Raw genomic sequence first — 25,916 nt, 5'->3', positions numbered from 1 at the left:
TGGTTAGGGTCTGAAGCACTTCAGTGGAGGTCTGGGGCAAACCCCAGGAGTGCTGGCAGGCGTGAGGCCAGCCCAGCTGCAGCCCCGGGCTGTGCACAGTGTCAGTTTGGGTTGTGGAGCTGCAAGGGAGAGAAGGCATAGGCATGAGCTATGGGCATGTGCTATGGGCATAAGCCAGGCAGCCAATGAGAGGCAGGGCTTATCTCAGGCTTGAGACCACACCTAGGCTTCCCTCCTTTCTCCAGAAGTGCACCCCAGGCACCTATGCCCTGTAGGTCCAGGGCAGACTCCACCTGAAAAATCCCGGGTTTCAGCAACCCTCTCTGGCTCAGCCGCCTTTGGCCTGGGTCCTTCCAGGGAGTGCAGGGAGGCTGCCTGGGGTAAGACCTTGGATGTGAGTATGAGCAACTCAGTGCCCTTCTCTGGGTACAGGACCTGGGTTGGGATGAGAAAGTGAATGAAGTGATCTCAGCACCCCTTCAAGAGCTCACGTTCCTCAGTTCCACCAGAGTCATCTGTACATGCCACATTAGATCTTACCCCACATCTACCACCATACCACCCTGAACATGCCTGATCTCGTCCATTCTCGGAAGCTAAGCAGGGTCCAGCCTGGTTGGTACTTGGACGAGAGATCTTGCCCCTTATCCCTATATGCTTTTGGCAGAGGGCATTCATTAACCCAGAGGAATGAAGCTTTCATGGTGGAAACTCGAGCACTGGGAAAGACACAGCTTGACTTTGGGAACTGACCTTCCTTAGACTCCTCAAATCACACTATGTCAGCCCCAAGGCTGCCTCAGGAAGTTAGAAGACTGCAGTCTTTACATCACAGCCGGATGGACTTGGGTTCAAATTCTGTGTAACTCAGAGGAGCCCTTTAACCTCTCTGAGCTTCAACTTCCTTGATGGTGAAATGGGCAGCCAGTGCCCTGCTGACCCCAAGTAAGCATCTACAATCTCCTTTAATCCTTACTCAGGCAAGGAAGCAACGCTGATTCCCAATTGACAGAAGAAGGCCCAGAGAAGAGGAGGCAGGCACTGAGGAAGCCAGGCCGTGCTTGGGTAGGTACAGAGTTCCCAGACCCATCCAGCCCCGACCCAGGAAACCCTGGGCCTCTCAGCCCCAGCCACCACCTAGCCTGGCTCAAGCCCTGTCCATTCCAGCCTTTCCCCTGCCTGGCCTGGCCCTGACCCGAGGCTCACCCACTGCCTGTCTCCCTGCACCTGGCCCATGGAGCAGCTGGAGCTGCACCTGCCGTTATCAGCCATGCTCTGGGACACCTTTGGCCTCAGGTATGCCAGGAACTGGGCCAGGGCGTTAAAGAGACTACAAGCTGTTCCTGCTCACTCAAGAAGGTCCTGGAGCCTCACAGCACCTGGAGTAAGCAGGCATGCCCTAGCCAGAGAGGGAAACTGAGGCCCTCTGACTTTAACCTGGAAGGGGAATCAGAGACCTCCTTGATTCCCCTAAGTGGGAACCAGGAAAGCAAAAATGGTGCGGATGGGAAGATGGGTAGGTGAAAAATGAAATCAAAGCCAACAATGGACCAGCTATTTCACTTCTAGGTATATACTGAAAAGAAATGCCTAGACATGTTCACCAGAACAATGTGTACTAGAATGTTCATAGCAGCATGATTTATGGTAGCCCAAATGGAAATGACTCAAAAGCCCAGCAATAGTAGAATGACTACATAAATTAAACTACAACTGCAGAAAGCCATGTAGATGATCTCTCAAATGAGAAGTACAAAACAAAATAGCACATACCCTACCATTACCTTTCTATACAGTTTTAATACAGGCAAAAGTAATCTGTGGTGTTAGAGGTCAGGACGGTGATGCCCCTGGGGAGTCAGTGACTGAAAGGAGGGCAGGAGGGGCTTTGGGAGTCGTGGCTGTAGCCTGTTTCTTTTCCTAGATGCAAGCTACATGGGTGTTTTCTGCCTGTGAATCTCACTGGGCTGTACATTAATGTTTTGTATCCTCTTTTGTATGACTCTTACACTTTTGAACTTTACATAAATTGAGTCTTCCGGTGTGCACTCGTTTGCATCTGGCTTCTTTTGAATAACACTGTATTTTTGAGATTCATCTGTGTCCTAGCAGGTAACAGAAGTTTCTCCTTTTTCATTGTTGTATAGTGTTTCATTGTGTGACTATACCACAATTTGTTGATCTAGTCTGCTGATGGAAGTTGGGCTGCTTCCAATTTGGAGTTACCCCAAAGAGTGCTACTTCGAATATTTTTGCACCTGTCTTTTGGTGAACGTCTGTATGTATTTCTGCTGAGGCGTACCTATTAGCGAAGTTGCTAGGCCATATAGTTTACATAGCTTTAGCTTTATTTCATACTGACAAACAGTTTTCCAAAGTGGTTTGCCGACTCACACCTCCGTCAGCTAAATATGACAGCTTCCCAACCTCACCAGCATCCGATGTGGTCAGATTTCCTTCTGGTTATCCTAGTACTTGTGACATGGCATCACACGTGGTTTTCATTTACATTTCCCTGGGGTCTAATTAAGCAGAGCATCTGTCTGAGTCCAGGTTCCCTAGGAACAGACCCTGAGACAACAAGTGGAGAACAAGCAGTTTAATTAGCAGGTGTTATTAGTCTGCTAGGGCTGCCATAACAAAATACCATGGACTCGGGGGCTTACACAACAGAACTTTATTTTGAACTTTATTTTCTCCCAGTTCTGGAGGCTGGAAAGTCCAAGACCAAGTTCCAGCAGGGTTCATTTTCTGGAGAGGCTTCTCTTCTTGGTTTGTAGACAGCTATTACCTTCTCTTGTGTCCTCATACAGCCTCTTTTCTCTGTGTGTGGAGACAGAGAGCTCTGGTGTCTTCCTCTTCTTGTAGGGACCCCAGTCCCATTGGATTAAGCTCCCACCTATGACCTCATTTAACCTTCATTGCTTCCCTAAAGGAATTATCTCCAATCACAATCGCATGGCAGGTTAAGTATTCAACATATGAATTTGGAGAGACACAAATCAGTCCATGACAGCTGGTGATCCTAGGGAAACCTAGAGGGAAATGAGAAAGTGAAGCAAGGAAAAGGAGGAGGCCAGTGTGCTAACAAGCAAGTGGTCACCTTGGCCATCTGGAGCTTAATCCCACAGGGAGCCTCTGGGAAACTGCAAACCACACACCTTAGAGCTCTCTGACCCATGAGTATGGGAGCTGGATTATCATGCACCAGTTCATGTTGCTCATGGATTGAGGTCAATTTCAAGGTATCTCTACATGATCTTGGGAGAGAGGTGTTAACTCTCAGGCCCTTGCAGCAGTGCAGCCTCCCCAGACACCCTCGGGCCCAGTGCTGCAGGCCCTGGCGGTTGCAAGGAGCACACTGCTAGGGTGGCTTCACTATTCAACGTCGGATTCTGGCTGTCATGAAGTGACTTATCCAGTGGAGCTAGACTTTGAAGAGTGAATATTGATGGGCCAGGCAGCTGAAGGCACTGCAGCAGGGGAAGAACATGACAAAGGCCAGGATGGAGGAAGCACGGTGTCCAGCCTACAGCTACATAGGGAAGGGGAAAGATTGGAGACCAGGTTGGGGTCAGCAGAGCTCTGGAGAGGGTGCCCCATCTATGTACCTAGCTGCTCAGAAGCCCAAGCTGGCCTATCCCTAAGAATGTTGTCTTCCTGGGACACCCTCCTGCCCCCCTGCCTCTGACTGTCCCCACTTCAGCTCCTCATACAGCAAGCACTCCCAAATCCAAGAAGGTCTCCTGCACCCAGGAGACACAGATATCTCCCCAGCAGAGGATCCAAACTTGGCCCCTTCCCAGGCCCGAGGGCAAGTGGTGGCAGATGCTCCTCTCCCTCAGAGGCCAGACCACAGCCTAGACTTCAGGGGGGTCAGGGGCTGACCGCAAGGGTTGGGCCTGATAAAGGACTGAGCCAAGGTAGAGGGTATCCTAAAACACCAAAAAGCAGCCACTTGGTGTCCAACCTCAGCCTCCTGAATTCAGACCTTGCTTCTCCTCTGGGGTCTTCTAGCAGGTTAGGAAGTTGCCTCTGTTTGTGCTGTCTGCAGAGACGGCACAGGGAAGGCCGAGGATCAAGGAACAGCTGGACCCAGGAGTGTGAGCTTGGAGGGGCCACCTTCACCCCCACTACCACCACTGTTTTGGCCTGAGGGAGATTGGGAAGTGAGAACTTAAGACAGGTCTGAGCAGGGTCCAACTGCTCTGGATAGCTATGGGTTTGGAGCCAAGCCATATCCAACTCTATATCCAAACAACAAGCATCTTCTCCATAGACAGAGGTGTGGTCCTGATGGAACCTGATGGAGGACAGGCACAGTGGGCACCTGGTTTCTTTGACAAGGCATGTCTCCCTCCCCCATTAATCCTGCTCTGGGCCAGGTGTGGTGGCTCATGCCTGTAATCCCAACACTTTGGGAGGCCAAGGCAGAAGGATTACTTGAACCCAGGAGCTTGAGACCAGCCTGGGCAACATAGAGAGACCCCCATCTCTACAAATAAAAATAAAATAGCTGGGCATGGTAGTACAGGCCTGAGGTCCCAGCTACCTGGGAGGCTGAGGCAGGAGGATCCCCTGAGCCCTGGAGATTGAGGCTGCAGTGAGCTATGATCCCTCCACTGCACTCCAGCATGGGTGACAGAGTGAAACCCTACCTTAAAAAAAAAAAAAAGCAAAAACAAACAAACATAAATCCTGCTCTGTTCATGTGTGTGGCTCAGTGGGGCAGCCTCCCCACACAGCCAGGCAGGGGGAACTCTTGAGCCATGACTGGCCACTGGAGCACCCATCCCCGGGCACAGTTATTGGCTTAAGGATAAACACATGACCCAAGCCAGGCCAATAGGAGTCTTCCCTGAGACTTTTTCTAGTGCGCTCTAGAAATTTTTCTTTCGAGATTGTGAGCTGTAAGGATGAGTTTGTAGCAACTGGTGGACATCTTGCATCACAACAAGAAAATCTGCCCAGAAAAAAAAAAAAAGGCAAAAATAGGCAGGCATAAATTAGAGATGGAAAGAAAGAGTTTTAATGATGTCAATTAAACACCCAGATGCAGCCATGACTGAAAGTCCTTGGACTTTTTGTTTACATAAGCCAGTGTATATCCTGCTCTGTTTATGTTTGATCAGAGTTTCTATCACTTGCAGTCTAAAGGGTGCTGATTGAAACAGTAAGTGAGAACACAGCCAAGCCCTGTCTGCACCTTCATATCCCAGAGATACATAAGATTGCAGGGAGTTCCTTTCAAAAGGGCCACTGCAACTAGAATGTTGTAATGAGGCAAAGATCCACATCCTGCTGCCCTTCTTTGAGAAGCAACAATTGGCTAATGCAAAGCAAGCTAACACTGCCAGCAGTTTATGTTCAAGAGTCCAGAATGTCATTCACACCAGAAGGGCCAAGTCTTGGCAAGCTACCCTCAACCTCACTTTCTGGAGTGTTTTGGAAGGTGGAGAGGGCTGCGATGCATTTTTCTGACTAATAATTCTGGGGTCATTTAACTACTTTTTCACTTGCTGAAATGTGAAGTCAGAGTTATATAGATTTAGGAGAGAGGGAAAGAAATACTTCATTTTTACAACCTCAGCATAAATAGGCATTGTTGCACATTGTTTAACCGATTCACTTGTTAATTCAATCCAATTCAACAAATAACCTGAATGTTCATCAAATAAAGGTTTGTTTGGCTGAATGTGACGGCTCATGCCTGTAATCCCAGCATTTTGGGAGGAGGAGGCAGAAGGATGGCTTGAGCCCAGGAGTTGGAGACCACCTGGGCAACACAGTGAAACCCCGTCTCTTTGAAAAAAAAAACAAAACTTTTTTTAATTAGCTGAGTGTGGAGGTGCACACCTGTAGTCCTAGCTATGCAGGAGGCTGAGGTGGGAGGATTGCTTGAGTCCAGGCGTTCGAGGTTGCAGTAAACTATGATTGTGCCACTGCACTCCAGCCTGGGCAAGAGAGTGAGACCCCATCTCTAAAAAATAATGATAATAAGGGTCTGGTTAAACAAATTATAATATGTGGATTTAAAAAAAAATAAGGTAGCTCTAAAATATACTGTCACAGAAATATGTCTGTAATGTATGAAGTGTATTCAGCAGTTTGCAGAATGATGTGTATAGCATGGGCCTGTTTTTGCAAGTAAAACCTGGAGGCCCTATTATTTGCAGAAGACTTACCATTTATATATTTGGAAGAAAAGGAAAAAAAAAAACTTACCCATGAAGGCTGGGCATGGTGGCTCACATCTGTAATCCCAGCACTTTGGGAGGCTGAGGCAGGTGGATCGCTTGAGCTCCACCTTGGAGTGGAGCTCCAAGACAAACCTGGGCAACATAGTAAGACCTGTCTCTACAAAATATACAAAAACAAGGCTGGGCGTGGTGGCTCATGCCTGTAATCCCAGCACTCTGGAAGTCCAAGGCGGGCGGATCACGAGGTCAAGAGACAGAGACCATCCTGGCCAACATGGTGAAACTCCGTCTGTATTAAAAACACAAAAATTAGCTGGGTGTGGTGATGCGTGCCTGTAGTCCCAGCTACTTGGGAGGCTAAGGCAGGAGAATCGCTTGGCATAGTGGCATGCGTCTGATCCGTAGTCCCAGCTACTCAGGGGCCTGAGGCTGGAGGATCACTTGAGCCCGGGAGCTTGAGGCTGTAGTGAGCCGAGGTTATACCACTGCACTTCAGCCTGGGTGCTAGAGTGAGACCCTAAATTAAAAAAAAAAATTTTTTTTAAACTGACCTATGAAAGGTAACTCATTCTCTTTGGGGGATTCAGTTGATGTAAACTTCAGTTCCCATCAGAGCTGTTTCCCCCTCACAAGGAGTCCCCCTCCTAAGATGGGGTCTGCAAGCTGGAAACTTCGGTGTCTTCATAGCATCAAGGCAAGGGCCTCCAGGCCTCAAGTCATCTTCCTGTTGGAGCATCTCATCCTGTCGGTTTCTGTCCTAGCTGCTGTTACCAGTGCAGCAAGTGGAACCTGGGGTGTGTTCTGACTTGGGCAAGGACTACTGAGAGCTCCAGCACAGCTGGCCTGATTGGGATCCACAAGGGCAAATCCCCTGTGATCTGGCTGGGACTTCAGGGTCATTGTGACCCTGCCAGGGTCCTGACAGACAAGCAGCCTACCAGAGCTCTCAGTGTCCTTCTGTGTCCCCCCATTGTCAAGACACTGGACCTTGGGGCATTCCTCCCACACCACACAGGAGACAAGCTAGTCTAGGGGCACTATCTCTGGTCTTCTCTCTGCCTAAATACCCCGTAGGAGGTTGAATGTTGGCCACAAAAAGATACGTCCACATCCTAACTCTCAGAACTTGTGAATGTGATTTGGAAAAAGGGTCTCTGCCCAGGTAATGAAGGCTCTCAAGATGAGCTCATTTTGGATTATCCAGGTGAGCCCTAAATCCAATGAAAAGTGCCCTTAGAAGAGAAAGTCAGAGGGAGACTTGGCACAGAGGTGATGACTCAGAGATGGAGGAGAAGGCCATGGGAAGATGGAGGCAGAGACTGGAGTCGTGATGCAGCCACAGGACAACCAGGGGAGCTGGAAGAGGCAGGGAACAGACTGTCCTCCAGAGCCTTCGAAGAGAGCACAGCCCGGCCGACGCCTGGGTCTCAGACCACCAAGTCTGTGGTCATTCATCACGGCAGCCCTCAGGAAATGGATACACACCCCACATTGCCCTTTCTAGTCTCCTGTGGGCATGGGCCAAGCATCCTTCCAGACAGCACTCTACAGAGTTCTAGAGTTCTAGAAATGGGCAGAAGCCCCCATCTGGGCTTTCTATCTTCCCACAATCCCTCCCCTGGCTGGGGCTCAGAGGCAAGGATGGGGCACTGGGTCTTCAGGCAGCTGCTTTACGTCACTTTTGCCTCATTTTTCCAACTCCTTGGTGGCTCCTCTGAAAGGTGGAAGGACTCCCTACTTCCTCCTGAGCTGGTAGAGACTTCCCTTACATCACCTCCTAAATTCTCTCTACCTGTGGCTTAGGGTAAAACTCCATGTCCTGTCCTCCAAGATTTGTTGTGAATATCTACAGGGAAGCTTTGGGAACAGAGAAATCTGCTTTCTCTCTCTTACAGTAGGTGATGTTGATTCTCTACCTTCTTCGATTTCCCTGTCCTTCTTCTTGAATATGCCCCAGTTTTTAATCTGGAATCCAGCCCATCCTCACATCACCAATGAGCTTCAGGGAAAGTTGACCCCAACTTCAGTTCCAGGGCAGCTCTAACTGGTGCCATGAAATCCCACCCCATCTGCCATGGTGATTGGTCCAGAAACTCAGGCCTAAGCCCCACTGCAGGACACACTCTTGGCTCCAGGAATGGGCATGTGACCCTAGCCACGATGCAAGGGGAGAGTTGCTGGGAGCCTGGGGGAAAGTGTTTTCTTGCTTTTAAGAACAGATGTGCTCCCCTTTCCTCAGAATAATTGTACTGTCCAGCCACATGGTAATTCTAAGGGATGCCATCCCACAGATTAAGCCATTAGACAAAGCAAGGTACACCAAGGGAACTTTAGAGAGATGGGCCAGCGTCACTGATGAAGCCAGCTCTGAAGCCTAGTCTGTCTCTGGAGTCTGGGGACCTGAGTCAATGTATCTCATTGTTTATCAAGTTTGTGTTGTACTTACTGTTACCTGCAGCCAAAGCATCCTAACCAAAATGTTAATCAACAAAGCCAGCTTTCAAGACTTTTGTCTCATATGGACTTCGAGATTCTCTTTTGAATCTCATTTTTAACTGAGCCTTGTTCATTAGTCCTCTTTATATCACTGTCTATCTATTTTAATCCTCTCTGAAGCAAATGGATGCTTCTGGCTGAATAGGAGGAAAATCTCATACAAGAACTATGGGAGGAAATATGCATTGCTATGTCAGAGCAATTATCCACATAACACTAATATTCAGACAGAAGTCTGGGTGAACTTCTAAGCTGTTAACAGTGGTCATCTCTGGGGAAGAGAATTTGTAGGGGAGTGGGGGTAGAGATTTCCCCTTCTAGGTTGTGTATGACTAAAATGTTTGACTGTTCAGTGTAAGTTTTAATTACACTTGTAATTTAAAATCCTAAGGATTAAAAAGTAATCCAAAACATCCTGAGTTCCTTGGTGTTTGCTCTGCAGGAAGTCTATCTGCTAGACAAAGAAATGACTCAAGAAGCAACAATATTTCTTTAAAATTTAGACATAGATTTTCAACAATTTACAATGGCCTGATCCTAGCTGGTCCAGAAGAGTAAACGCTCCTTGCCACAGGAAAGCCTCAACGAAAACTTTGCCACATGGGGATTTGTAGGACTTTAGTATTGTTTCCTGGGGGCCGAGGCAGGGCTGTGGCTCTGGGAGCCAAGGCCTGGATCCTCCTCCTCTCCCATCGCAGAGTCTCAGGGCAGAAGGCACCCCACCCATCTGAAGTCTGAGTGTCCTCACAAATTTCCAACCTCTGCTCACGCTCCTCCTGCAGGAGTGGCGCTACCCCCTCCAGTGCTGTGTGCTCTCCTTGGTCAGAGCTGAGGCCCCTTAGCATCTCTGGAGGGGTCTGCAGACGCTGGGGACCAGAGGCCACACCCCAGACCCCAGAGCCCCTGTGTGCTCTGCTCTGTCCCAGGGTCCCCATCTCTCCCTAAGGCCATGGCTTCAGGATTCTATTCTCAGATTAGTCCTAAGCAGTGCAGGCAGGACTGTCTCTGACACTCCCCCAGGCTGGGTGAGCCCAGGAGCCCCAGAGTGGGTGGAAGGAGCCTCTGCCACTAGCCAGGAGAAAGCCCAGGGCTGACCCATACCTGCAAGTAAGAGCTGGAGAGGCTGGGCTCAGAGCTTGGGGAAGGGGAGGAAGAAAGACGTTAAGAGCTAGGGAGAGAGGGGCTCCACAGGATCTACTCACCCCTGCCCAGCTCCCTCTCCTCCCTGGGCCTAGTTCTAGGCTTGGTCCCTGGACTCTGTCCCTCTCCAGAGCCATTGGTTCCAGGAGCAGAAAAAGCCTCAGTGTGATCCTCAGAGAGTACCTCAAGGGCCCCACTTCCAGAACCTCCACTCTCAGAGAGACTGGAATGGGGGCCCTCGGGGCTGCCCCTGCTGCTTTTCCTGGGAGCAGGGATGGGTCTGGAAGGCCAGGCCTGAAAAGCAGGGCTGACTATTTTGCCCCGTTTCCCCCATGCTCCCCTCCCCAGTGAAGGGCTGGGCTCCTACTGCAAGATGCCCCATCCCCCAGGGCACCCGGAACCCTCTGGGCCCCCTGAGCCTCCCCATCCAACCCTGACACCTGCCTGGATGGGCAGCAGCTGCCCAGGGTTTACAGTCCCACCTCGACCCCTGTGTTGCTTCCTGGTCCTCAGGGAGGCCACACATGCCGGGCCCTGTGCTGAGCATGAGGGTTCACAGATGAAGATTCAGCCCGGTGGACTGGGCAGACCGAGACCCAGAGGAAAACACAGCCAGGACTGCCCTGGCTTGCACAGCCACTCCGTGCTCAGCCCAATGCTGGCTGCTGGTATGATACTGAATTGGCAAGCAGAAGACATTCCCAGCAGGAAACTGCTTGGACACCCTCACCAGACACTGCATTGCTCATGAGCATTGCCTTGTCAGGAGGCCCTCCACGAACAAGCTACTTAGCAAGCCATCCCCTGCTCTCCGGCTCTTAAGCACTTAGCACCACCTGACATTACATCCTTTATTAGTTATTTCAGTTTTCTGCCTCCCCACACTCAAATGTAAGCTTTTTGAAGGCAGGGCTTTGTCCGTGTTGTTCTTGTATCCCCAGCCACTGTCTGGCACACAGCAGGCACTGAATATGTATTTGTGCGCTCGGGATTTCTGGATGGAGGATGAGGGCTGAACGCAACTCTTGTCCCTTCCTCTCTCTCCCCAGGCACCCAGCCAAGCAGTCCCTAAGTCCTCTAGAAACCATCTCCTCCCCATCCCGGAGCTCAGAGCCCAGCCTCTCTAGGCCTTGCTTGGGACTTCTTAATCTCCAAGGCCCTATGCAAATGCCACCTCCTGCATGAAGCCTGTGTAGATTCCTCTGCTGTCACATCACGTATTCCTCAATCATAGCCCCTTTCACTCTGACTGCAGTTGTTCATTTATACGTGTGTACCACCCATCACCACCACTCCGGAAGAAAAGGTCTTTAGCGCTGAATCTCCAGGGCTTCTCTAGAGGTCAGAGTGGGGTGTAATATCAGAGCTCAGGAAAGTTTGTTGGATGAATAGAGGAGTAAGTGAAGAAATGAATGAATGAATGGACAAATATAAAAGTGAATGAATGGATGAGCTCCCCTATTAGTGAATGAGTCTGTGACGGAGCACGCAGATGCATGAATGAGCAAGAGAAGTTGCTGAGTGAATGAGTCAGTGACAGAGGGGAGGAGGAGAGAGGGCAAGATGAGGGAACCTGGGAAGGAGGGCCCTCAGCCTTCTCCAGCAGCACTGGCATTGGCCTGGCCCCGCCACTCCACAGCCCTGGGCCTGTGCTCCATGCCAGCCAGCCCCACAATGCCTCCTCCCAGAGACAGCTCTCACCGGTACTGCTCAACACATGCTCCCTGATGCTGGCCAGACCCTGTGCCTGGCAATGAATCAGACAGGGCCCTGCCCTGGGGCTCCTGGGACGGGGGGCAGACAGACAGCCTCATAAATAAACTGGATGCCATGCTGGGCAGACATGTGTTCCAGCAGAGTGGTGAGCTCAGGGTTGGCTCCGGTGCCCAGGGCAGGCAGAGCTGTTCTGATGTAGGAATCTGGGAGAACCTCAGGAAGAGGCAACTTCACAGCTAGGCCTGGAGGGAGGGGAGGGGTGGAGAGAGAGCTCTAGGGGTAGAAGGGACAGCATCAGCAAAGGCACAGTGGATGGAGGGTACAAAGAGAGCTCGGCAACTGCAGGGGACGGTGTGGTGGGAAAGGATGTTTAGGGAGATGGGGACAAGCAGTGAATGCTGGGCACAGGGGCCCTTTTGGCAGAGTCTGAGATGGGGACTGCAGCAGGATGTAGAGCAGAGTGGGGCACAAAGACAATGGGCTGGTGGCCATGTGTATTCCAGGGGGAAGATGGGAGGCTCCAAAGAAGTGTTATGGGGAACATTTCAAGGAGTTTCCAGGATGCTCAGGGTTGGGTCCTGTTACAGCTCTTGCATAATTAAAGACGTCGCCATCATCCTCCATGTCCAATGCTCATTGTGAGCAGCCTGAGGCATTTGGGGCCCCTAGACTAGGGAGATTATTTTGCAGTGAAGGAATACTTACCAGTTATTTTGCAATGATTCCGACCATGGAGAAGAATCTGGGGTTCCTAAAGCAAATCAGGGAATTTCAGAGTGTAACAGAAACCTTGAAACTGGGTCAGCTGATGCCAGGGATGCTACTAAACATCCTAGAATGCACAGGACAGCCCCAACAGAATCATCCAGTCCCAATGTCAATAGTGCCAAGGTTGAGCAATCCTGATTTGATAGATGAGCAGACCAAGGACCCTGGATCAAACGGGGTCCCCAATAATTATAATAGCTCTTCCATGTGCCAAGACCTATGCTGACAGCTGTACACCCGTGAGCTCCTGTAATCTACCCCTGCTTGATGGATGAGGAAACTGAGGATTAGAGCAGTCTGGGACTTGCCCAAGGTCACACAGCTAGAGGTGGTGGAGGCGTGGTTCCAACCCTGTTGGTCAGGCTCTTGGGCATGACATCCCACCGCCTCCCCTAGCACCTCTCAGCCGGAGAAGAGCAGGGATGTGGACCCAGGGCTCCATCCTCCAGGACAAATGCCCTCTCCACTGCTCTGTGCCCCTGGCCCACATGGGAATCTTGGGCTCCTTCACTGCAGAAGCAGAGCTTGGCAGCTGGGGACCTCGGTTTGTCAGGGACGCAGTGGGCGGGCAGGAAGCAGATCCCAGGGACATAGGGCCTTTGTCTGCCTGCAGTTGGGCAGGCAGGCCTGGGCTGTGCGGCCAAGCCCAGGGGCCAGCCGGGTGCAAACTCATTAGACAGCTGCTGAGGCTGCCAAGGAGATGGGAGCAATTACAGGGCTCAGCCCCAGCCAGGAAGTGGAAGCTACACTGTGGGAGTTGCTGAGCTCTCCCGCCCCCCACTTTGAGCCCAGTTTCCTGGGAGGCAGCTGCAAAGTTTTTCCTCAGGATGGTAACAGCAGCTCCATCCTCACTGAGCGAGCCTGTTATGTGCTGGGCCGGACACCTTATGCATCTCGCCCTTCGCCTCTAAACGCCCTTGGGAGGTTGGAAGTACTAACTCCAATGCATTCACATATTCATCCATTCACTCATTCAACAAATATCATTGAGTGCCTATTACCTGCCAGTCCTGTGCTAGATCCAGGGGATACATCGGGGAACAAAACAAATATCCCTGCTCTCCTGGAATGCATATTCTGGAAGGAAGAGACAGACAATAAAAAGAACAAATGAGAGAACTGTGGCCTGTGATCAGAGGTATGGAAGAAATGAAGGGTGGGAGGTGGGCCAAGGAAGGCCACTTTGAGGAGGTGACTTCATAGAGGAGGAACTGAACTCAGAGGAGGGAGGTGACTCAATCAAGGTCACACAGCTGTAAGTGAAGGATCCAGGCTTTGGTCCCAGGCCTGCCTGACTCCAGGCCTGACCCCGCTCTCTGTCTCCTGGAAGTCCCCCTCTCAGCTGGGGCCATTGCCACATGACACTTGGGTGTAACACTGGCACAGCGTCTCCAACTCCTACTCACACTAGCCTCAAGAGGTGGGTGAGCTTATCACCTCCATTTTAGAGGTGGGAGAACCGAGGCCCAGAGAGGAGCCAAAGCAAGCCTGAGGTCCCAGCGAAGGAATGAGAGAGAGTGGACTTGAAGTCTTTTGATCCCCAAACACGTGTTCCTTCTGCCATACCTTGACACTTCCTGGCTGGGCACTGCACCCACCCTAAATACTTAGTAGGCACACAAGAAATGCATTCGTGGATAGACCATGCGTCCTTGGGCAAGGCGTCCACTTCTCCATTAGAAAACGTGAAACTGATCCAGACCAGCTCTGAAATTCCCCAAGTTCATTCTATTCAATCAACGGACAGAGATGAAGGCAGGGCCCCATCATAGTCCAGTGGGTAAGAAGGTCATGCAGTTTAAAGTGGGTTGGTCAGGGAGAACATTCTAGCAGAAACAACAGATGCAAAAGCATGGAGGTGAGAGGTGAGAAAGAAAACAGTGGGGCTCACCCAGGCATTGTTTAGGACATGGAGAGCAATTTGGAACTTTCCCTCTGCTACCTGGATGAGGTCTTGGGCCACCATAGTCCCTGCACCATATCAATTCCAGCCCTGGCTTGAGTCTGACAGGGTTTGCAAAGAAGATGCTGAAACTAGCCCCAGATAGATCTGGGTTACCAGCTGCACACAGACTGTGACCTTGGTAGGAGACTACTCCCCTCACTCGACCTCGGCTTCCGTATTGATTAACTAAGGATGGGTATCAGAGCAAGTCAGGACCGTAATAAAAGGTAGGGTTTATGAGTACTTCATGTCAGGCAACAATCCCTTAATACAGTTAATGTTATTACCCTGGTTTACAGATAAGAAATCAGAGGCTTAGCGAGGTGGAGTCACTTACCCAAGGCTAGTGACTAGGAAATAGGCCAATGCGGATTCACCCGCAGGACTATCTGACTCCGGAATCCTGCTCCATAACAAAAAGCTGCCAACTTGAATAAGTGTTCATGACCTTTGACCTGGGCCGCAATCAATCCCCAGGACTTTATCCATAGGAATGAATCCAAGAAAGCCAAAAAGATGTTCCCTGCAGCCATATTTACAATATGGCGGATAATCAGAAGCAATCTGTCTGTCCAACCACAGGGCCCTATTCGCTTTACAATTAGGCAGCTTCAGAGATTGGGGTTTATTGAGCACTAGCTCTTTCTCAATACTCTGTCATAATCCCCACACCAACCCTGTGAAGTGGGTGTTGCTTTCCCCATTTCTAGACAAAACCTCTAAGTTCAGAGAGGGTGAGCGATTTGCGAGAGTACACAGATGGTGACAGACATGGGTCTGTTCACAGCCACCCAAAGGTAGAAATGGGGAGATCTGTTCTATGAGGAAGGAAGCTAAAACTCAAGAGAGGGTGAGGGGGCCTCTGCTCAAGGCCACACAGTTGGTGAGCAGGACAGTTCGGGTTTGACCTCAGGCACTGGGACCCTGCACTCTGGGACCACATCCTGCACTGCAACTTCCCACTGGGAACACCTGGATGAGTCACTTAGCTTCTCTAGGCCTTGGTTCCTCGTCTGTAAAATGAGGATAATAATGTTCATGGCATAGGGTGGCTGTAGCGAGGATTAAGTGAGTTTCTGGCCAACAGTAATGGCATCATGTAAGCAGAAGCACGTCCAGGCTTGGGGTGGAGAGTGGTTTTATGTGATGGTGTGGTTGGGGGTGAAAGAGAGGCTGGGGACAGGGTGGGTGTGAGAGAATTTAGGGGGACAGAAAGAGGCCATGAGAAGGGCTTGGCAGTCTCTGTGATGATTTTCAGAGGCCTTTTGGTTTTTTGTTTGTTTTTTGAGACGGAGTCTCGCTCTGTCCCCAAGCTGGAGTGCAGTGGCATGGATCTCGGCTGACTGCAACCTCCACCCACCAGGTTCAAGCGATTCTCCTGCCTCAGCCTCCTGAGTATCTGGGACTACAGGCCCAGCCACCACGCCCAGCTAATTGTTTGTATTTTAAGTAGAGATGGGGTTTCACCAGGTTGGCCAGGATGGTCTTGATCTCTTGACCTTGTGATCCACCCACCTCAGCCTCCCAAAGTGCTGGGATTACAGGTGTGAGCCACCACGCCAGGCCTTCAGAGGCCTTTTGTATGCTGCCCCTTTGACTGTGGCCAGGCCTTTTATCTGTGGACCAGGCCTTTTGCTAGGGTTACCCCTACCCAGAAGGCAGGCCTGCTACAGTGGTTCCAGCTCCAGCCCAGGCTGGCCTCACTGGAAGGGACAAGGCATGTTTGCTGACTAAAGGATTCGGCTCAATCTTTCCAAGACTTTCAGAGTTGGGAAGACAGTAAAGGTCACCTCGTCCACCCCATTCCTTTCCGCACAGGAGAGCAAGAGCTTATTCAGGGTCACACAGGGAATAATGTCAGAGCCAGAAATGGAATCCAGAGTCCTGTCACTCAGGCCTTTTTCCAATATGGCACTTAACCAGGAGGAGCCTTGCCTCTGGTCCAGCTTTACAACCAGCTGTGGGACCCAGATTCAGGGGCTTATGGCTCAGCTGATGATCTCACAAGGTTGGAGGAGCATTAAATTGGATAATAGATGGGAACTTGCTTGGAAAGAAAACCAGTGGAAATGTGGAGTGAGGCTGGGGCCTCCCTGAGGCACAGCACAGAAGGGTGGTGGCAGGGAACACACAGATGTGGCATGAAGGGGCTGCAGGGAGGCTGAGGCTGGGACAAGTCTCCACTGGGGTCCGAGTGGCCACCTGCCCTGCAGGGCAGGTGGCAGGGAACTGAGACCCGGCAGAGGGAGGGGAGGCCAGGTAACCCACTGGGCTCCTCCAGCAACGGTGAGACAGAGACACAGTGAGGCCAAGACTTTCGCAAGCTCACCGCTGCAGCCAGAGGCAGGAGAGCGGTTAGTAAACAGACAACAAAATCCCAGAGCCAAATACCCCCGGGCGTGTCCCAACCCAACTCTCTGACAGGCTCAGAGCTGGCCTTGCTTAGATTTTCTGCCCCTTTCCAAGGAAGTGGGCAGCCCATGCTTAGACTTGGAGACGCTGATGCCTCCCTCAGGCCAGTCCTTCTGCCTCTTCCCCCATGCAGACTCATCCACAGATTGCCTCTGGGTTTATTGCTTGCCTTCCTTCTTTGCTGGACTCCAGCATTGTCCCACCCGTCTTGTGTGGATCCTGCTATCGGTTTGCCGACCCTTCTTTCCAAACCTTCCTTATACTCCCATTCAGACCCTTCAACCTGGCATTCAGCATCTCCATGATGTAAAATGGGGAGTATGATCCCTCCTCAGGAGTCAAACCTCTTGGCACAGTGCAGATCACAGAGATGCCACTCGGTACACTTTAGCTATTATTATCACTATCAACACTATTATTACCTCATGCAGTCCCGTGCAGCAAACACACTTTCTGGAGCATCAAGCCACCAGCCATGTAACGAGGTTGCCAACTCACAAAACCCCATGAAAGTATTAGAAACACTCACCTCCAGCCCAACTGAAATATGGGACACTGCGGCCCAGGCTCCAGAGCCGGTTAATGGCAGAGCTAGACCAGAAGCCTGATCTCCTGCCTCCCGAGCCAGAACTCTTCCCTAACAAGCTGCCACTGCTAGGAGCCAAGTTCAAACACCAGCCTTTACGTATGGTAGTCTCAGAGTACACAAAGAGCAAACCTTGGCTACATATAAGAATCTTTATTATTTGTTCTCACTGTTAACTTCCCCCTTTTAATACCCCTAGGTACCTTCAGAGGGGGCTTCTCTCTCCTCCTTCCAGCCAAGGCTTGTTTATCTCTCCACTGTTTTTTCTCCCCCTCACTTCCTTCCCCTCTCCATCACTGGGGAGGCCTTTCTCTGACCTTCCCTGGCAGAGCCAAAGGGCAATTGCCAGCTTGCCTTTTCACTACTCAGCTAAAAAGCCAAATTCCTTTCCTCCTGGGGCTCTACTGGATTTTTTGTTGTTGTTCTTAGCCTCAAGGGTCTATTCTGGGAAAGACACTGAACCTCTCTCTCCTGACTGGCTCCCTCTTCTTAAACATGCCCAGTTCCTCCCACCCTAAAAACCAACAAGCAAACAAATCAAGCCTGTCTATCCTCTTCAATTGAACTCGGTCCCATTCCTTTCCTCCTCCTTCAGCCCCAGTTCCTGGCAGTAACCTGTTATCTCCAAGTCCCATCTCCTAGGCTTCACCTCCCACGAGGCTGTCTCTGCCCCTCCCCACCCTCTACTCAACCTGCTCCTGCTCAAGGCCCCGGACCTCCATTTTGCTAAATCCAACCGGCGTTTTACAGTCGTCAACCTGCCTGGGCTTTCGGCCTCCTCACACCTGCAGACCACACCCTCCAAGGGCCTTCTGGATTCTCTGACTTGATATTCCCCCACTGCTCCGCCAGCAGCTTCTCGGTGTCCTTGGTGCCTCTTCTTCCAACAGTCATTGACGTTGTGTCCTGGGCCCTCTTCTCTTCCCATGTTCTCTCCCTAGCCTCCCCCATAGCTGACTTTCCATCTCTAGCTCATAATTCCTAGATCATCCCACACCCGCCTCCTGAGCCCCAGGCCTGGGCACCCAGCTGCCTGCACTCAGGTGTCTCTCAGGCACCTCAATCCAAGCTTGGCTAGAACTGTCTCATGATTCTTTCTCTCAAGACCACCCCCTCCCTCCCGACCCCCCCATCTCCGTAGATAGCCCCTCCATCCACCCCTTCTTCTTTCTCACCCGCCTCCCCAGCCAGTCACCAAGTCCTGCTGAATCCATCTTCCAAGCACCTGCACTGTGTGGGCCACCCACCTGCTTCTGACTCCCTCACTGTGACCTGAGCCGGGGCTCTCCAGCTGCTCCTGAGAGTCTGCAGCAGCTGCCTAACTGGTCCCTCAAAGCCATACTTCCCCCTCATTCCATTCTGCTTACAGCAGCCAGGGATCTTTCTACAACACAGATCTTTTGGTCATTTCCCTGCTTAAAACCCTTCACCATCTCCCAACTCTTCTCCAGTCAAACCCCCAAATCTTCAGCATCTCCCTCCCCCTAGCTCTCTGCCTTCCAGCCTCCCTGGCCTTTTTGCTTTTCTTTCAATGCCTCCATTCCTTGCTGCTTCTGAGGCTGTGCGCTTGCTGGTTCCTCTGCCTGGAATGCTTTTCCTTCCCCCTCTCCCCATCCCCAAGAGATGCAGCCTAGAGTTGCTTCTGCACTTCCTACCAGCTCACACTCCCCTGGGGCCCCTGAGTTTTCCATCAGCTGCCAGGTTGTTTGCAGTCAGCCATGGGTGCCTGAGGCTGCTTGATTCATGTCTGTCTCGGCTCCTGGACTGCAAATTCCATGAAGGCCAGGGGCCATGTCTGTCTTGCTTACTCTACAACCACACTGTGCCTGGCCCATAGCACCGCAGAGCCCCAGCTGACCAGGCTTCCCTGTCCATACAGCCTGTGCTGATGGCCCAGGAGCAGACTCTTAGTGTGGAATTTAAGGGCCTCATGATTGGACTCCACCCACTTTTCCAGCGCTCCTTGGCCCTAACCCTTTCCACATGCCTCCCCCTATCCAGACTGGGGACCTCCCCCTCCCCCCCTTTGCTCCCACCACTTCCCCTCCTCTCTCTTTCTTGGATGTTCTAGCCAGCCCAAGCCCATATCCTCCTCGACACCTCCGTTCCTGACCACACAGCCATCTTCCCCTGGGTCGACAGAGCACCCACCCACCATCCCTTCAAGCATCCTCCACTATCTCCAGGACGAAGTCACAAAGCACTTGGGGCCCTTCCTCATCCATCCCCACTTACTGTCTCAGCACCACACTACCCACACAATAAACACCCATCCCCTCTGGCAATGCCCCATTGCCAAACATGCTCCTTGCTTCATGCCTCCAGACACTCCCTGCCCAGATGGCTCTGGCCCTCATCCCTCCTTGATAAACTCCTCCTTGAGACCAGCCCGAACATTCTCTCTTCCAATTGCCGTCCTTGGCCCCTGGGCTGAGGTCTGCCCTCTCCAGAGTCCAGCACTCGAAGACTTAGCCTTCAAAGCCATGTTTCCTGGGTTCCTATCCTGCCTCCATCTCTTACAAGCTGCAGGGTCTTAGACAAGTTACAAACCCTCAGCTGCCTCATGCATAAAATGGGAGCAGTAATGGCCCCCACCTCATAGAATTTTATGAGGATTAAATAAGGAAATCCAACTGGGTGTAGGCTCATGCCTGTGGTCCCAGTTACTTGAGAGGCTAAGGCAGGAGGATCGCTTGAGCCCAGGAGTTTGACACCAGCCAGGGCAACATAGTGTAGACCCCATCTCCATTTTTAAGAACATTAAAAATTTAAAAATCCACAGTAAGTATTTAAGCAAGTGCTTGGGCACCTATTGCGTGCTACTGTGAAGCTTCTAAGCTTCTTTCCTCTCTTTGGCCCTGATTGGCTAACAAGCCTGTCCTCCATCTGGCCTGTGCTAAGAGGGGAGACTCAGCCCCTTCCATCTCTGGGTCTCCCTTGCCTAGCCCTGTCCTGGTTCTGAAAAAGCTCAATCAATGCTTATTAAAGAGCCAATAGACCACACACTTGGAGCAAATCATCCCTTTGTTCCTTCACTTTCACATGTATAAATCTTATCTCTCCTCACAGGATTTGAGCTCTAGGGTATGGGGGTTGGGGCTTCTGGGGAAGGAGAGCAGAAGGGGTGTCTTCATGTCAGAGCATTCAGACCTGGGAGGGAGCTCTGTGCTCCTGCATCCCTCTACCCCCCACAGTGCCCAGCCCAGAGAAGGAGTCAAGGAGGGCTTGTTGACAGATGGGCTCACGGTCTTCCCCCGAGAGGAGGCACGTCTCCCCCTTCGAGATATTGCCCTAATTACTCCCTGGGCTCTCCCCTCCACACGCACATCTGTGTTCTTAGGCAAGATCCTGCTTGACATACTCCACGGAGTTCTCTTGGCTGCCGGTTCGAAGCCAGCTTGGCCAGTTTCTTCAGAAACTAAAGCAGAAAGAGAAGAAAGTTTTCTTAAAGCCACAGAGCACGAAACCAGAACAGAGGATGAATTCATTGTCATCAGCAAAACATCAGCCTAGACTAGCACTGACTAATCTCCACACTGTCCAAAGGGGGCACGGATGGCATAGCAGAAGAGTTAAGTGTGCTGGACTCTACAGTTGGAGAACCTCCGATTTGAATCCAGGCTTTGCCACCAAGCAGCTGGGTGACCTTGGGCAACTTACTTATCCTTTCTTTTTTTCCTTCTTTTTTTTTTTTTTTTTGAGATGGAGTCTTGCTCTGTCACCCAAGCTGGAGTGCAGTGGCGCAGTCTCGGCTCACTGCAAGCTCCGCCTCCTGGGTTCATGCCATTCTCCTGCCTCAGCCTCCTCAGTAGCTGGGATTACAGGTGCCCGTCACCACGCCCGACTAATTTTTTGTATTTTTTAGTAGAGACGGTGTTTCACTGTGTTAGCCAGGATGGTCTCAATCTCCTGACCTCGTGATCCGCCCTCTCGGCCTCCCAAAGTGCTGTGATTACAGGTGTGAGCCACCGCACCTGGCCTACTTATCCTTTCTAAGCTGCAGTTTCCTTGTCAATAAATTGGGGATAATATTTGTACTAGCTCAGGAGGATTTAATTAGATGAGTGCTCCAAAGGTTGGTCATTGTTATTTTGCCACTGAATGTCAGAGCCAGAAGGAACTTCAACAGTCCTCTTGGAGAGAGGGCACTGTGGCCTGTGAAGGCAACCGGATCTGGATAAGCCATAGAGCAAATTGGTGCTTTCCCTCTACCCCTTGTCACCAATGACATTTTTCAGAGAACCAAGAGGTGTCTGCTCCTTCACCCCCGGACTCAGAGGTCACCCGCCTTGGTTGGAAAAGCTCAAATTTGGGGATCTTGAAGGGGGAAGGGCAGAGGCATCCATGCCAACATAGGGCCTGTTGTCAGGAGGCCATTTGTTCAGGATGAGCCCCCTCCAGCTCAGGGTGGCACTGCCCATCAGTGATGCCATGACAGGGCAGATCAGATCACAGCCTCCACTTGCAGTCCATCCAGGGAAGTGCTGCAAACACAACTCAGATCTTGCAGGGATGAGGACTTTGGAGCCAGGTAGGCAGGGCACTGCCTGCTCACCTTCTCTAGCTGGGCTCAGCTCTCTGGCCTCTGCTCAGCCTGGCCCAGGGGCTCCATCTGCCCACCTGTCTGCCAGATGGAGTGCCTGCTCTGCTGTTTCCCTTTTACCCACTCCAGATACATCTTGCCCACAGACTTTCCCTCTCCCAGATGCTCAGGCAGACCTGGTGGTGCCATCTAGAGGGGTCAGGGTGAGCACGATGGTTGGGGAGTAGGGGGGAAAGGCCTTTTAACTGAAGCTTGAGGAAGCATGGTTTGTTTGTTTGTTTTTGTTTGTTTGTTTGTTTGTTTGAGACAGAGTCTTGCTCTGTTGCCCAGGCTGGAGTGTGGTGGTACGATCTCTGTTCACTGCAACCTCTGCCTTGCCTGGGGAAGCATTAAAGAGCCTGTTTTATCCTCCCGCCAGGGAGGGAGTTACATCGAATCAAGAAAGTAGTTGTCAAGCAATCTTTAAGCAAGGGGCCTAAGATGGGTTTTCAGTGCTGAAGAGGAACCCAAACTCCATCCAGAAAAGCACCCATCATTCCTTAAGTAGCCACTCTTTTCCTGCCACAAATCATGCATCATTCCATTTAATCCTCACAACAGCTTCTTCTTCACAGGGTGGTTTGTGAGGATGAAAGAGGAAGATGCTTCTATACCAGAGTGCCTGGAAAAGAAGAGTTTAATTTAGGGTTGGCAAGTGGTGAGAGAAGCTGCCAGCTATTTCTCTGTTGAAGTGTAAGTAGAGCTGCCTCTTGGAACAAACCTTCCCTGTTCAGGGAAGTGTCACTTGACCAGTGTGGGGAAGGCATGTCTCTCTTAGCTCTCCAGACAGAGCCAGGAGGCCCCTGTGGTTTTGGGGAAGGATGTGACAGGACTTACTGTGGCCTGGAAAAGGCTTCTCCCACTCCCCCTTTGTTTGCAGAGCTGGTCTCTGAGGCATTGGTGGGAAAGTCTGCATAGTGACCAAAAATCCTCCATGTTCAGTGTTCTCTCCTATAGGTTGAGATAATCCATTGTCCAGAGAAGACACTAAATACCTTCCTGCCCTCCACGAGTGCAGGGAGGATCTGAAATAAGGCACTGGCCCAGTTCAGGGGCTGGGATGTTAGTAGAGGGCTGGTTTTGGTTTTCCACATGGCTGAAGCTAGAAGCCCTTCTTGGCCTGGCACAGTAATTTGCTTTGGGGGCCAGTCATCAAGGGTGCAGATGTGAGTCTAAGGAAGCTATAACCTTGGAGCCAACCTGTGGAGATCACAGGAGCACAGGCTCCACTGCAACAGAAGACAAGGGTTCACAAAGCTGTGCAGAACATGTCTTCAACAGCGACCCCATGCGGCAGCAATAGAAGCAGAAACGCTGATAGGCTGATGAGAACTAGAATTTCTCAAGTCTCAGCATTAGGAGCAGGAGTCTCTCCTCTGGTCAGAGAAATCTCCTGGGTTCATTCAGACAAAGGCAGTTAATGGCTTTGATCAGGAGGTATAGGACATCTCTTAAGTGTGCAGGTAGGTTTTTGAGCAAGTACCTGGAAAATTTTAAGATGTGTGTAAACAATACTCCCAAGCTAGTGAGGCAGGTGATTCTGGTTACACTTGCAGAGCACTTGACCATCTCATTGGCTCTTCCCAAGACCCTTTCTTGCTTGACCTCAGGTTGCTGCCCTTACCTGTCAACCACTAAAAGGAGAAAATTCCAACCTCAGGTCTGACATATAACAGCTGTGTGAACTTGCACATGCTTTTTGACTTCTTGGATCCTCAATTTCCTTATATATTTAATAAGAATAATCATGCCTACTTTAACTGAAGCCTGAGGAAGTATGTAGGTAGTAGGCATGATTATTAAAATTCCCTTTGGCCTGCCTTTCTCGGGAGAATGTGTGCCCTATGGGGAAAAGCACACTATTTTTTTTGCTGTTGTTTACCAGCACACTATCTTTTTTGCTCACCCCACAGTGCTGAGCACATAGTGGGGACCCAGCAAGCACTTGTGAGTGAGTGACTGAATAGCTGAATAATAGGAACTTGAAAAAATGTCTTCCTTGGGCTGGGTGCGGTGGCTCATGCCTGTAATCCCAGCATTTTGGGAGCCAGATGGGTGGATTGCTTGAGCCCAGCAGTTTGAGACCAGCCTGGGCAACAAAGTGAGACCCTGTTTCTACAAAAAAAAAATACAAAAATTAGCCAGGCATAATGGTGTGCACCTACAGTCCCAGCTACTTGAGAGACTGAGGTGGGAAGATTGATTGAGCCCGGGAGGTGGAGGCTGCAGTGAGCCATGATCATGCCACTGTACTCCAACCTGGGTGACAGAGTAAGACCCCATATAAAAAAAAATATGTCCTCCTTGGATAAAGTGAAAGATATGGAGATGGTCACAAGGGGAACTGGAAGATTCAGGGAAGACATAGGCTCTGTCTCTGAATTCTGAAGGGTGGACCTGGAGCAAAAGAAGCTGAAAGAGGAGTTGCTTAATAAAGGCAGGCCTATCCATGATTTGAAGGAACTGGGCCCCGTGAAAGGCAATGAGTTTCCCGCACCTGTGGATACCAGGAGACCCTGAAAACCCGCTGGGCAGGCTGAGAGAGGACTCCGGCAACAGATAGAGGACACCTATCAGGCCTGGTTATAGCTGCTCGGGAACTCAGAGCAGGGATCCGAGGGAGCTCCAAGGAGGAGTGAAGCAGCAGGGTTTCCTGGGGGATTATCAGGAGCAGGAATCTTTGGGCAGAGACATGGGTCTATCTGCCAAAACTTGCTCATTGCAGTTTCCTGGCTTACTGGCCAGATAATTGCAAACAAAATAGACTGGGGCCTGGGCAGCAGCCACCACCCCTTTGTATAGTAGGGGGGCCCTGGGTGGGGCACGCAGGAGTAGGCACCAGGGCCCTGAGTCATGGAGAGAACCAGTCCCACTCAGCACCTCTGAGACTCTGGGGCTCCCTCCACCTTTCTGGGTGATGGTGGGCAAGGCCTCAGGCTTCCCATCTGTAGACTGAGACCTGTGGTACACCCATGCTGCCCTTGGCCAGCACTGGGGGACAGGAGCCATCAACACTGCCTTCGGGGGCACCAATACAGGTGGAGGGAGAAGCTCGGCACAGCTGCTTCTGAGGAGGTCAGGGAGGGGTCCATGTTCTGAGCCCTTTCTCTGCCCTGGTGAGGAAAACTCTCACCAGCTACAGGGGATCAGAAAGTGGCAAAGAAGGGCCTAGCCTGAGTCACTGTATTGGTGGCCAGTGGCACCTCGACTCTGATGTGGGCATCGGTTTCCTGGAGAAGGCATGTGTTTATGTGAGTTTGTGTATCTGTGTGTGTATATACATGTGCATCACGTATTTGTGTGTTTGTGTATGTGAATATCTACAATTATTTTGTGTGTGTATGTTCCTAATTAATTTTATATGTGGCTGCACATGAGAGTTTGCCCTTATGTATGTGTGTGGGTGTTTCCGGGCACACATGGAAATACAACTGATTGCATGAGTTATACACATTCAGTCATTCCAAAAATATTTACATTTATATATATATATTTGTTTATTTATTTATATTTTGAGATGCAGCCTCACTATGTTGCTCAGGCTGGAGTACAGTGGCACGATCTTGGCTCACTGCAACCTCCACTTCCTGGGTTCAAGCAATTCTCCTGCCTCCCCCTCCCGAGTAGCTGGGATAACAGGGGTGCGCCACCATGCCCGGCTAATTTTTTTATTTTTATTTTTATTTTTATTTTTTTTTTGAGGCAGGGTCTCGCTCTGTCGCCCAGGCTGGAGTGCAGTGGCGTGATCTCGGCTCACTGCAAGCTCCGCCTCCTGGGTTCATGCCATTCTCCTGCCTCAGCCTCCCAAGTAGCTGGGACTACTGGCACCTGCCACCACACCCGGCTAATTTTTTGTATTTTTAGTAGAGACAGGGTTTCACTGTGTTAGCCAGGATGGTCTCAATCTCCTGACCTCGTGATCTGCCCACCTCAGCCTCCCAAAGTGCTGTAATTACAGGTGTGAGCCACCGCGCCCAGCCAATTTTTTTATTTTTAGTAGAGACAGGGTTTCACCATGTTGGCCAGGCTGATCTCAAACTCCTGACCTCAGGGGATCCGCCCTCTTTGGCC

At 50.9% G+C, this 25,916-nt stretch overlaps 1 long non-coding RNA gene and 1 pseudogene across 3 annotated transcripts in view, besides 2 other annotated features; one reads left to right on the top strand and one right to left on the bottom strand.

Moving 5' to 3' along the window:
* RNA5SP45 (RNA, 5S ribosomal pseudogene 45) lies at window positions 546-637 on the top strand (annotated as a pseudogene).
* The window catches only part of LOC105378678 (uncharacterized), a 38,609-nt gene continuing 15,277 nt past the window's right edge, over window positions 2,585-25,916 (bottom strand). The window contains exons 1-5 of one of the 3 annotated variants that reach the window (XR_007066030.1): window positions 17,207-17,834; window positions 13,322-13,397; window positions 12,258-12,303; window positions 6,226-6,489; window positions 2,585-3,035 (exon numbers count right to left, since the gene is read on the bottom strand). This is a non-coding gene — a long non-coding RNA (uncharacterized LOC105378678). Of the gene's footprint in view, window positions 3,036-6,225; window positions 6,490-12,257; window positions 12,304-13,321; window positions 13,398-17,206; window positions 17,835-25,916 lie in introns of those variants that run through there. The other 2 variants (XR_007066029.1, XR_007066028.1) reach the window with 2 other exon arrangements.
* Window positions 4,011-4,511: an enhancer, noted in NCBI's record as "H3K27ac hESC enhancer chr1:41928734-41929234 (GRCh37/hg19 assembly coordinates)". NCBI's record gives its function as "activates a minimal SCP1, AML or CMV promoter by ChIP-STARR-seq in primed H9 embryonic stem cells {active_cell/tissue: H9 hESC(primed)}" and the evidence as "EXISTENCE:reporter gene assay evidence [ECO:0000049][PMID:30033119]".
* Window positions 15,941-16,500: an enhancer, noted in NCBI's record as "H3K4me1 hESC enhancer chr1:41916745-41917304 (GRCh37/hg19 assembly coordinates)". NCBI's record gives its function as "activates a minimal SCP1, AML or CMV promoter by ChIP-STARR-seq in naive H9 embryonic stem cells {active_cell/tissue: H9 hESC(naive)}" and the evidence as "EXISTENCE:reporter gene assay evidence [ECO:0000049][PMID:30033119]".

The sequence above is a fragment of the Homo sapiens genome, chromosome 1 (assembly GCF_000001405.40).
Source record: "Homo sapiens chromosome 1, GRCh38.p14 Primary Assembly".
Classification (NCBI taxonomy): domain Eukaryota; kingdom Metazoa; phylum Chordata; class Mammalia; order Primates; family Hominidae; genus Homo; species Homo sapiens.
This window is presented reverse-complemented; position numbering and strand designations above follow the sequence as displayed.